The sequence below is a fragment of the Homo sapiens genome, chromosome 18 (assembly GCF_000001405.40).
Source record: "Homo sapiens chromosome 18, GRCh38.p14 Primary Assembly".
Lineage (NCBI taxonomy): Eukaryota > Metazoa > Chordata > Mammalia > Primates > Hominidae > Homo > Homo sapiens.
In genome coordinates this window covers 55428176-55441471 of record NC_000018.10, presented here as the reverse complement: position 1 = coordinate 55441471, position 13296 = coordinate 55428176, and the positions used below count along the sequence as shown (strand labels likewise).

Genomic DNA, 13296 nt, shown 5'->3' with positions numbered 1-13296 from the left:
AATCATGGGAAATAATAGGGTGGATAGAATGTGATTTATCTGCGTATGTTAAAGAAAGAAAAATAGTGATCGTGAATGTACTGAATATAGCTTAAACTATTTATCATTATGTACAAATGGAAACTTACATAAAACCCCTGTTGATTAAGTTTTATCTGAAACAAAGGATATGATTGGAAGTGGAGAATGGGAGAGTATTTTAAGAGCATGTGATAATCCAGCTAGAAGCTTCAGCAAGTCTGTGGTCAAACAAGAGAAGAGAAAGAAAGAGCAAGGAAGCTTGATTTGGTTATGCAAATTTGGAGCACACATATGAGTTGGGACCTAATGGATTGTTGCACTGGATTTGGTCATCAAATGATGCTTTTCATAGCAAATATTATCTGAGCCATTAATTCAAACACTGAGAAATGCAGGCCATGTGTAGGCAGAACCACAGCCTTTTTATCCCTCAAAACAAAATGTAAAAGTTGGCCTTGATGGTTAGACCTTATAAAGAAGAATAAGGGGGGAAGGGGGAAAGGAGCAAGTAGTGAAGGAAAAAGCACCCAGAATGGAAACAGGCATGCGTATTCAGACATAAATCCAATAAACAGACACCCCAAAGTTATGCTGTGTAAGAATAGACACACAGTAAGAAATTTCCAGCTATCAGGCTAACAGGATGGAAAACTGGAGAGCACAGAGCAATTACTTACGAAGAAAGAGGCACAGTTGACATCAAGTGTTATAGAGGAGACTGGCATGATTACAGGAAGATGTTGAGAATATCAGAAAACATCCCCAAATTAAGAGTGCCAAAAAGAAGAAAGATTACCGATGAGATCATGATAAATAATAATGAGCTGTTTCTCAAAGTACCTGAAGAAGGGGCCTGAAAAGTGGTTTGTCAAGCCTGGAAGACAGAGAAAGGGTAATGTATTGACGGACGATGGAGACACTGCTAAAAAATAAATGAAATTTTCACCCCAGTGTTCACAAAGGAGGAGGTGGTTGGGGACAGATGTCAGACACAGACACAAATTTCCCAGGGGAGAATGAAGAAATACAAAAGAAATCAGGATCCTGCTAAAACAGGTGATCAAGGGGTGAGAAGAAGAAAATGAATAAAACCCCAAAAACCCCAAAGCTTAGCGGTAGTCACCTAAAAATCTTCAAGAAGTGAGAACAAAGAAGCTAACAAGAAGAGGAAAAACATACCCGCATCACTTAGAAAGGCTGGAAATATTTTCATGTGTGTGTGTTTTTATCTAGTTAATTTGTTAGACTAGCCCTTTTGAAACTTGTCCTTAAAGGAAGTAAGATAGAATACTTAAAGAAAAATGATTGTGGCTGGGCGTGGTGGCTCACCACCCAGAGTGGAAACAGGCATGCGTATTCAGACATAAATCCAATAAACAGACACCCCAAAGTTATGCTGTGTAAGAATAGACACACAGTAAGAAATTTCCAGCTATCAGGCTAACAGGCCTGTAATCTCAGCTCTTTGGGAGGCCGAGGAGGGCAGATCATTTGAAGCCAGGAGTTCGAGACCAACCTGGCCAACATGGTGAAACCCCGTGTCTACTAAAAATACAAAAAATTAGCCAGGCGTGGTGGCACGTGCCTGTAGTCCCAGCTAGTCGGGAGGCTGAGGCAGGAGAACTGATTGAACCCAGGAGGCGGCGGTTGCAGTGAGCTGAGATCATGCCGTTATACTCTTGCCTCGGTGACAGAGTGAGACTCCGTCTCAAAAAAGAAAAAAGAAAAATGATCGTTTAAGTGGCCTTGAATAACCAAGACATCTTTCCTGCTAAGTTCTTTTCGAGTTACCCATTATGCCCAGCGTTGAATGTTTACTGTGCTTATTAAGGATGATTTTTGTGTCCTAGGTGATCACTGAGTCCTTGATTGGGCCAGTATTTACTGGATGGATGCTTCTTAGTGCCAGGGAGTGCGCTAGATCCTGGACTACTGGGATGGAAAAGCTAGATACTTTCTGAGGGTTTTTGAAGTCACTTCTTCCTCACTCATATAAGCAACCCCACCTCTTTCCAGGCATTGATTTCAGTGTGTTCATCATCCCTGGTCTTGCTTTTAACCAGCTACTTGATGGGCAAAGGTCTGGAGAGGGGCAGCCTCCTTTGTTGCTGGCTCAGTGTGCTGTGCTGTCCTCAGCGTGGTGCCTGCTTTTTGCCCTTATCCTCAGATGTGGATCCCTCTCTTCCCAAGCTCTCCTCCATCCCCTGTGCTGCAAACAAAACTCCTTGTTTGTTGCTCCCCACCAGTGGCCACGAAGGAATTTGCAAACCCCTCAACCTCCTACTGTTTTGGAATTCATGAAGTTTTTGCCCTGAGCAAGAGGCTATACTTTCAAAAGTACTTTTTCCTTTCTTCATTTTCCCACCCCCTGCCTTTCAACCACTGCCCCGCCCTGGTGCACACACCTCCATCCCAGGCTGATAACTCCCATCTCTATTTGAACCACCCACTCCCTTCTCTTGGCCTCTGTCAATTTTAGGGCTCAGCAAAACTGGGCTTACTAAAAACACCTTTCAATTTCTGTTCTCAGCATTAATCTGTCTTTGCTTAGTGTTCAAAGAATACTTTAAGATACTCATTAATGCAAACACTGTTATGAGGAGGGAGCTTCACTTCGGTCCCTTCTTCTCACCTTCAGATACTACTGTAACAGCTGTGTGGGACTGGAGTATGGAATGTTTCAGAGAAGCTGCTTCTGAGTGTGTAGGAGAGGGCTGAAGAAACTTTCATCCAGTACACAGTTTTGTCCTGTAGTCCTTGTTCCCATGGCCAAAAGTCTTCTGGTAAAATTAATCTCCAGTGCTACCTTTCCTACCAGGACTGCAGGTGGTGTCTTTTAGTTGAAACAGACTCCCGTGGTCCCTTGATTCTCATATGTAATGTTCCATGTTCAGGTGTCTCTGAAAGCTGTTAGACTTCATCCAATGGAGAAGGGTCCATTGAGCTACATCACTTTCTTTTTTCACATTTGCGTTTCTTTATGTAGAGTGAGTTGCAGTTTGGTTGGCTTTTTTTCTGGGAATAGATCACTCTTCTGGGGACTGTCAGACTTGGTCCCTGCCCTGGGTGAGTTTGCCATCTTATTGAGGGGGTACTAACATGTGCGAGACAACTATAATCATAGCAATACCAACCCCACCTCAATGGCTGAGTGACTAATGAGAGGAGAGAGTGAGGGGCTGAGCAGAGGCCTCTAGGAAGCAGCTGTGGTCAATCTTAGCCTACATTTACTTTTTTTTTTTTTTTTTTTGAGACGAAGTCTCACTCCGTCACTCAGGCTGGAGTGCAGTGGTATGATCTCTGCTCACTGCAACCTCCACCTCCCAGGTTCAAGCAATTCTCCTGTCTCAGCCTCCTGAGTAGCTGGGATTACAGGCATGCACCACCACACCCAGTTAATTTTTGTATTTTTAGTAGAGATGGGGTTTCACCATGTTGGCCAGGCTGGTCTCAAACTCCTGACCTCAAGTGATCCGCCCACCTTGGCCTCCGAAAGTGCTGGGATTAGAGGCGTGAGCCGCTGTGCCTGGCCTAAACCTATATTTACTTTGAATTTCACTATAGTCTACCATTTCCTGATGCCTTATATATCTGACATATATCTGATGAGTGACATTCTTGAGATGTCTGCCCAGGACTCCTGAACCCCATGAGAAATAAGATTGCACTTTGCAGTTCTTCAACCTTGCTGTGCATCTGAGTAACATGTGGCCCATTCATACACTGCAGATGCCTGGGCTCCGTCTGTGAGATTCTGTGTTTAGAGGCCTGGGCTGGGATCTAGGCTTCTGTTATTTAAACAGGAATTTCTGACCTACACATTGCTTCAAAAAATTGTCAATTTTGTTTTCAAAATTGTTATTTTTTCTTGAACTCAATACTTATTTTTAAATCCTTTTTCACTCAGGAAAAGTGAATCATCACCTACTTAGCACCTAATTATTTACCACTAAGATATTTGTGTGCAAAAAATTAATAATTTTTAGATCAAAGAAAATGGATAACTTCTAATATGTTAAAATCGTGCATATTTCCATTGAGAGAGAGAATGGGCTGAAATTATCCCTCTTTTATATTTTAATTGTTCATCAAATTGATAGATTTAATCTACTGGCCCTAAAGATTTGCTTCTATAATAATGTTGTGAATGAAACCTTCATTGCTGTAGATTCACAATTCAACATCATACGTATGTGGTAGGTGTGATTTTTCTTGTATTAAAGGAAAAAGGGTTAGCAGATTTTTACCAATTTAGAAAAAAGGCAAGCCAAATTAGAGGGAAGTCAGCATTATAAATATTTCGAAAAGAACCCCCATTCATTATTTTTTGTAATGTGTAGCTAAGACCAAGCAACAGTGAAGTGGGAATCTTTGCCTTATGCAAAATGGTTAGGGAAATAGCTAAGGATGCTAAGAAATTAGCTTCAATATTGGTTGTAGGCATGAATGTTTTTCTCAGGGACTTGGGTGATTTTGTTACACTTTCTAATATTATCTCTGCTATCTTCTAGGACTTATTTTGTGCAGTCAAAGACTTTTTAAGGCTGTCTGTTCTGTAAAAGAAATACAAACTCCAAGTTGTTTGATTTTATGAGTTTTGTTGTTGTTGTTGTTGCTGTTCAGTCTGTAAAATAGTGACGTGGATAATAAAGATATTTAGTTGTATGTCCAGTGACCTTTGGAATAATAAAACTGTTTTTGTCTGTGTGGGTTTTTCACATACAGGTAATGTTTTGTTCACATTCTGGATACAGACCTGACCTCAGGCTGCTCAGCACTGCAATTTCATAGGCTCCTATGAGGTCCCCGGCTAACATTTTGACTGTGGTGGTAGACCTTCACCTCTTAGATTTCATATATCTTTCATTTTGCTTCTTTTGTGCTTCTGTTGAATTCTGTATATTTAAGAAAATTAAGATGCAGAGAGAAAATTGGTTAATGTCTCCTCTGTGTCTTGTAATATGTGGCCCAAACAGAAAGAAAATGTATGGAATTTAGAAATTTTATTTACTTGTTTTCTTACATCATAGAATACCATTTTACCATTGAAATTATTAAAACCTGCTTTTATTGAGAATTTTGGGGAAGTTGAAAATGTAACCTTTACGGGGAATTAAAGCTGTTTTATTTTAATGAATAAAGTAGTTAAATTATTAATCATATAAAATTATTTCTCTGGATGTTAATAACCATTTCTTTACCCAGGAACTTTTTTCTAATCACAGAATCTTGATTGGTGGTTTATTTGAAGGCATATCTCACTATTAATGGTTCAAGAATACCCATAACTTTTGGAAAGACTCAAAACATATTGCATAATTGGATTTTAAGTTATGTTGTTTGTAAGCTTATTTGACTTGTATCATGTAGTGATTACTATCAGTTTTTCTGGATGTAGGTAGGTGCTTCTTATGATTCTTTCATAGATAGTATTGAGTCATTCATTAAGTCTATTCCTCAGATGCTTATTGAGCATCAGACTTGTGTCACATACTTGCACAGCTTGGTGTTGGAGATACACCCTTTATCACCACATACTTGGAGTTGCTTTTTGTCTGCTGTAAGACACAGGATGTAGTGAACAGGCCAAGAGAAATATAGGGTCCTGTGGGAGCTCCTTACAGGGAGGGACATAGCACAGAGAAACTCAGGGTAGTTGACATTTAAGTTCAGATCTGAGTGATCAGGAAAACAGCCAGCCAGAGGGAGCTGGCATGGGAATGGATGGAGGCGTGTTTGAGTCATGGCAGCCAGATCTAAAGAAGGCTACAAGTAGAGAGAGGACTGTGCATTTCTCCTTCCCATCACTGGAAGAGGAAGGGTATGAGGAGTAGGCTCTACATGAACATGAGAGCCAGCTCATGAAGGGCTGTACAAGCCATGTTTCAGTGTTTATCATTCATTCTGCAAATACATACTCAGCACTATGTGTCAGGTACTTGGCTTCAGGAAACAAGGCAGAAAATAATGCCTGCCCTTGTGGAGATTTTATTCAAATGGGGAAGAGACAAACAGTAAACATGGCACTAGTGGTTTTGAAAATGGGTCAGAAGTATGTGTAGTCCAAATGGTTACAGACTCAGCATTTGCCAATATCATGGAGCCAAATCTAAGACTATTTAATAAAAATAAGTTTGCAATCATTTCCAGTCCTCAGCTGATAACTACAGATAGACTTATTCTTAACTCAACATATTTACAGGTAAAGTTGAAGGTTACCTATCATTTATATTTATTGCTCACTCACATTGCATCAGGCATTGGGCTAAGCAAGCAAGCAAACCACATTTGAGAGAAGGTGCTACAGTTTAGTGCAATCAGTATTTCAAGTTCACCAGAGTAGAACTTAAGAGTAGAAGGTTTATTTGTTAAATAAGAATACTTGACCTTAATGGCTACCAAAAAAGAGTTGGAAGAATGAATAAGATCTAGTATTTGATGGCACAACAGGGTGATTATAATCAATAATAATTTAATAGTACATTTAAAAATAACTGGAAGAGTATAATTGTATTGTTTGTAACATAAAGGATAAATGCTTGAGTTGATGGGTACTCCATTTACCCATATATGATTATTACACATTATAAGCCTATATGAAAATATCTCATATACCTCATATATACCCACTATGTACCTACAAAAATTAAAATACACACACACACACACACACACACACACACACACGAATACTTGAGAGGTGATCAGAATGTCCTGTATTCCTGGCCGGGCACGGTGGCTCACGCCTGTAATCCCAGCACTTTGGGAGGCCAAGGCGGGCAGATCATGAGGTCAGGAGACTGAGACCATCCTGGCTAACAGGGTGAAACCCCGTCTCTACTAAAAATACAAAAAAAAAAAAAATTAGCCGGGCGTGGTGGCGGGTGCCTGTAGTCCCAGCTACTTGGGAGGCTGAGGCAGGAGAATGGCGTGAACCTGGGAGGCGGAGCTTGCAGTGAGCCGAGATCGCGCCACTGCACTCTAGCCTCGGCAACACAGCGAGACTCCATCTCAAAAAAAAAAAAAAAAAAGAATGTCCTGTATTGCTGTTTGAAAACACATTACCAGAACCAGAATTCTTCCTTGAAGTTTTGAACAATATCACAATAACAGAAACATCTCAAGATTTTATCATGCAGCCAGCAAACAAAAAAATTCTACATAGTGATTGAAGTAGACATTTGCTTGTCACTCAAGATGAATTATTGTAAATAAGGAGTTTTTATTACAATGAACACTTTTTTTGGCAGAATTAATAAAGAGCAGAGGATACTAGAAGTCAGTGCATAGAAGCAAAAGGAGAAATGTAGTTGAGCATAGTGAATAGAGAAGATTTGCTTTCGTTTATTTGCCCTATACATTAAGACCATTGAATGAGACTATTTTGTGTATGACAAGCATTTGAAAAAATTGTTTTACTCTGGCAATCTTAGGCTGATTTGTTTTATTTCCTTTAGAATAAAAGTTGCAAGTGGGTAGGAATTATGCCTTAAAGTGTTAGCCTACAAAGGACTGGAAAACTACTCAAGGGTAACAGCTGAAGAGGAAATGGCTCTGTCAGTGTCGTGCGCATGGATGATTGGGCACATAAGGGACACAAGCAGGGAGAAAGGTGCAGAGAGAAGAGCTCATAAAACCAAGGAGGCTTGCTTGGAACTAAAATAGAATAGCAAAAGTGAAAAGCCTGGGGAGCCACTAATGTGATATAGTTTCCCTCGTAACATAATGCAAATATGTAAAGTTGAAAACGTGTGCCGCCTCTTGCATAGACATTGCTGTCATCAGCAGCACACACAGTTGGGTATATTTGGCGAGGCATTTAATCTCCTGGCTCTCTGGTCTCTCAGTCCATATCACCAGAGGCATGTATTTTCAAAACAGTCCAGATCAATGTCTGGTCTTTGTATCTGTGGTACAAATATAAAGCTTACTTGTCCACATAACAGCAAAGTAAATCCGTGGTCCATTAACGCTAAATTGTAAATAGTGATAGTCACTTTTGTCCAACAGTGTCTGTAATGTTTATTGCTAAAGCCCATACATGTTTATTGATATTATCCTAATCTGGGAACAGTAGCTGCTAGTTATCTATGTGCCAAACACTGTGCTGCTGTTTGCAAATTTTATCTAATAGCAACTGTTTGTGAGGAGCATTTGTTATCTGCATTTTACCCATAAGGAAGGTAGGAGGGACAGAAAGGTTAAAATAATCCAGATGGAGGACCCACTCTTGGTCACTGGTATGTTTTGGGCTTAGCACACAGTTCTGCCAGACTCTGCAACATGTGTTCTTAACCATCAGACTTTATTTCTCTGGTGGGCAACACAGGTAGATGTGACAGGTTAGAAGTATTAGATATAAATATAAGTTATCGAGATGATATGACTACCGAATTCACTACTGCACTTTTTTTACTTTTTTAAAAACATGTATTTCAGCACACTGCTAAACCACAGCAAGAATCTTTTTAAAAAGACCTTACAAGAAGCATGATTACAGGTCACAAAATCAAGGGAAAATATTGTCATCATTATTTTTTAATAAGTGATAAGTGAGGCTGATGAGTGTAGACCTGTTGCTTTATTAATAGAAATATGTGCATCTGGTGAGGACTTGTATTTGCCAAGCACACTGCTGGCCTGGAATTAGACTCCTCTGTGGAATTCAGGTCAGTGTTTACACCCATAGTAGTTTACAATCTTTCATAAATTTGAGCAAAATATTAGGAAAGCACTTAGAAGCAATTTAGAGAATCAGAATTAAAGTAGAATCGGTGTAGCATGTATGTTCAGTGGAGAGGGGCGAGTAGAGGAGTGAGTTTCTCTGACAGATGATGAATCTAGTTTGTTTACTTTTTGGGAGACCCTGTTTCCACACTCACTGACATGTGAGTTTGCATCCTGGCTCAAGCACTTAAACTCCCCAGTCTCCCTTTCTGTGTGTGTGGGATGGAGATAACAAGGCCAACCTTACAAGGTTGTATAGGGTAAAGTGCCCAGTGTAAGATTTGAAGCACAGTAAGTCTTCAGTGGGGCTAGGTTTTCTCCTTCCTCCCTGCTACTTACTTCATGAAGAGGATGAATAAGTACAAATCTCTGTTCAGCGCTGCAAAGGAAGATTATCATATTTATTTATTTATTTATTTTTGAGACAGAGTCTCACTCTGTCGCCCAGGCTGGAATGCAGTGGCATGATCTTGGCCCACTGCAGCCTCCGCCTCCTGGGTTCAAGTGATTCTGCTGCCTCAGCCACCCAAGTGGCTGGGACTACAGGCGTGTGCCACCAGGCCCAGCTAATTTTTGTATATTTTAGTAGAGACAGGGTTTCGCCATGTTTACCAGGCTGGTCTCGAACTCCTGACTTCAAGTGATCCATCCACCTTGGCCTCCCAAAGTGCTGGGATTACAGGCATGAGCCACCTTGCCCAGCCCAGATTATCATTTTTAAATGCTGAAAACCTAAATTTCCCATTGCACTGTGCTATTACTTTCACAGTGTTGACTTTCAGAGATATCCGTGCACCGCCTTTTGGTAGCTCCCTATGTCCTCTTGCTTCTCTAGTTGCCATTTCTTTGGAAGACCCCCCCGACATTAGTTATCTCATTTTCCATGAGTGATTTTGAAACCCAGTTTGTGCCACAGTAAAATTTATTGAAATAGAAGAAACACTGGATCTTGAGAGATACCACCAGCACCTGCAGTCTTAACGCTTCATCTCCTCTCCTGACCTGGGTCCAACTCATCTTTTTTTCTCATCACCGCCTGCTGCCATCTTGTTTACTCCAAGTCTTCACCGTTCAGTCAGAAATACAAAGCCCTGCATGGGTCAGGTAGTCCTCAGAGAAGGAGAGAAGTAAGAAAGAAAGTGGAGGCCGGCCACGGTGGTTCACAACTGTAATCCCAGCACTTTTGGAGGCTGAGGTGGGCGGATCACCTGAGGTCAGGAGTCCAAGACCAGCTTGGCCAACGTGGTGAAACCCCGTCTCTACTAAAAATACAAAAATTAGCTGGGCTTGGTGGCAGGTGCCTGTAATCCCAGCTACTCGGGAGGCTGAGGCGAGAGAATTGCTTGAACCCGGAAGGCGGAGGTTGCAGTGAGCCGAGATCGCCCCATTGCACTCTAGCCTGGACAACAAGAGCAAAACTCCGTCTGAAAAAACAAAAAACAAGAAAGAAGGTGGAATCAAAGGGATGTAGGGGTTCCACAAATTTAGATGAGATGTCAGGTTTCTCAGATGTGTTCCTTGATTTGAGGTAGGTGATCTTAGAAGAGCTGCAACTAAACTCCAACTGGCTCCTTTTTCCCCCATGTCTTAGAAGAAAATGTGCTTCGTTTTTATTCTCTTGACAACCCTCTGCATTTGCATCTTTCAGCTTCTTCTAACTTGTGTCTCCTGGGACCTTTCTTTTCATAACTCTATTTTCTTTCATCATCTGTCTTTCCCCTGACTCCTTTTCCCTTTGCTTCAAAATGTGCAAATGGATCCTCTCTTCTCTGGCAGTGATTATCAAAGTGTGGTTTCTCGGCGAAATGTGATCACTTACTTCAAATCTCCTGGGATGATGTGAAAGTTGGGACCCACTTCAGGCCTATGTGTCAATACCTCAGTATGATATATTCCAGCAACTTTCCCAAAAAACTACTTAGTTTCCAAGGCAGTTTGGCATCTCCTAGAGTGGCACAGCAAATTCCATGATTTTTTTCTAGCCCTGTTCGTTTTGTCTTTTAAAACCTGTCTCCCTCAACATCCACAATGTTAAAAACGTCTAACTTGCCTTCTGTTTCGCTCACTACTCTTTTTTTTTTTCCTGCTTTCTGCTTCTGTCTTCATAAGTGCAGGCATGGGAAGAGCTGGGAATTTGGAGTCCCAGTAGGGTTTGATTCCTTAATGTCATTGCTCAGTAGCTGCGTGATCTTGGGTCACCCATGTATCTTCAGTAGGGCATCTGCTTTGGAGGTTTGTGTGGCTTGCAAGTGTCATTTTTAAATTGGGAGCCCAAATGCAATTGTTTGTGCTCTAAAAATCTGCCTCTTCCAGTTTGCTGTTGGAAAACTTGGAAATTATTGGCTTTGCCAGGGTTGTGGCCTCTGGATGAGAGCTAAAAGGTGAACAGCCTTTTATCCATTCTGCTTCCCCCCACTTACTCAGGGTCCTTTCCTGTTACAAATCATAGTTTGTATGGCATGGCAAGTACTGGAAGGGAGAAATTCTCTCCAGTGAGCCAGAAAATGCAACGGGATCTGTTTGTGATTGATAGAGATAAGAGTGCCTGATCTACTTTTCCCTCTGCCAGAAAAGTATTTTTCCCTGACAGCTGGAGACATCAAAGGTCTGAAGCTGTGAATACAGAGAGATGAATGTTCTAATATTAATATTATATTTAAAAATATACCACGTAACATTTAACATCAACATGTCTAGTTTCCTCTGTCTGGTAACCCCCAGTCGTCCATATGCAAAAAGAGGAATTCCAATCACAGAGGTCCTCACTCCAAGGAGACAGGCAACCATTACGTGTCTGTGAATAGCTGAGTAAGCCAAACTGTGATAGTTTCTGATAGATCATGTCAAGACCTAAATAGTGGAATCTTCAGGATTTGGAGGTGGGGAGCAAGTCACCTGGATTGATGAGGACTCACTGATGAACTGACCAAATTGTTTTTTTTTTTTTTTTTTTTTTTTTGAGATGGAGTCTTGCTCTGTCCCCCAAGCTGGAGTGAGTGCAGTGGTGCCATCTTGGCTCATCGCAAGCTCCGCCTCCCGGGTTCACGCCATTCTCCTGCCTCAGCCTCCCGAGTAGCTGGGACCACAGGCGCCCACCACCATGCCCGGCTAATTTTTTGTATTTTTAGTAGAGATGGGGTTTCACCGTGTTAGCCAGATGGTCTTGATCTCCTGACCTTGTGATCCGCTGGTCTTGGCCTCCCAAAGTGCTGGGATTACAGGCGTGAGCCATCGTGCTCGGCCCCAAATGGGCTTTTTAGGAGTTCTCATGGAAGAGATGGAAGTTTCTTCTTGAGTGAGAGCAATCCCAGAGTCTGATATTTCACCTAGTACATGGGAAGGGAACATGTTTTGTCCTAAGCCAGGTGTGAAGTATAGTCATTCATGTTGGGCAAAAACGTGGCAGGACTTGGAACTTCTGTGGGGACCCACAAAGGAGAATAGAGGAGAAGACTCCATGAAATTTCTGGTCCTGGTGTTGTGTGGATGGCCCAGGGCCCTGGCCAGAGAGATTCAACTACTAGGTGAGGTTTTTTTCACTTTAGACAACCCTGCTAAGGCTTCATTTCACTTATATGCCGTCTGTGGGCCTTTGATGGTTCTTTTTTCCTATATTTGCTATGGATATATTTATGCATTTAAAAAATTTGCATCATTGTAACTTTTCATTGACAAAATATATTTAATATGCTCGGTTTTTACAGTTTTGCTTAATTAGTTTTTTTCCCACTTATATTTATTTTCTGTAACTTTTCTCTTTTTTGTTGTCTGTTTTGCTCTATTAAGATGTTATATATCTTCTCCTCCTTCTCCAGAGTAGACCTCTCATCAGTTCACCAAAATCTCTCTCCAGTAAGAGTCAGGAAGCTTACCGTGTGACAACCCCTTCAAGGCAATAAGGCTCCAACTAAGGGATTAAGATTGTTTTTTGACACCAAACATTGTTTATCCTCTTAATTTTGAGCTATGTAGCCTGAAATCCATGCTCTGTGATGAAATGGAGGTGGTTTATCTGAGCTTTAATACTCTTAAAAATGAAGATAATGATAGAGCATAGTAATGAAAATTAAATAAGATGCATGCATCTAGCAGAGAAGCTAAGAAATAGGAGATTCTTAACAAATGTAACCTCATTTCTTCTTTAGTTTCTGTAAAACCCCAGGAATGTTAGAAAATATCTAGGTCGAAAGGAGAAGATCATGAGTTTGGTGTTAATTTTGAGGTACCTTTAACCAGTCAAGTGAAGACATGAAGTAGACAGTTGAATTTAAGGGTGTGCAGATCAGAGATGTCTGAGTGGAGAGTCTGCAGTTGAAGAGCTGTTTGTAGAGATGCCAGTTGATGGTATGAGATTGCTTATGGAGTCTTGAGTAACAGGTGGGCCTTGAGCCTAGCAGTAGAAGGATTTTCAAGATTTAAAGACATTCAATTGAGAACAAAAGAGCATGCCAGGGACTGGGAGAGAAGGGAAATGTGATGTTATAGAAGCTATGCTAAGCATAGTTTTTTAAGAAGGAGGGGATGGGTGTGTCTTTTTTGGTCATCAAG

General features: G+C 41.0%; 1 protein-coding gene across 34 annotated transcripts in view, besides 1 other annotated feature; it reads left to right on the top strand.

The window, feature by feature from the left end:
- Positions 1-13296, top strand: part of TCF4 (transcription factor 4) — a 413773-nt gene that overhangs the window by 194486 nt on the left and 205991 nt on the right. The window lies entirely within an intron of this gene.
- Positions 1847-2624: an enhancer, noted in NCBI's record as "OCT4-NANOG-H3K27ac-H3K4me1 hESC enhancer chr18:53106079-53106856 (GRCh37/hg19 assembly coordinates)". NCBI's record gives its function as "activates a minimal SCP1, AML or CMV promoter by ChIP-STARR-seq in naive H9 embryonic stem cells {active_cell/tissue: H9 hESC(naive)}" and the evidence as "EXISTENCE:reporter gene assay evidence [ECO:0000049][PMID:30033119]".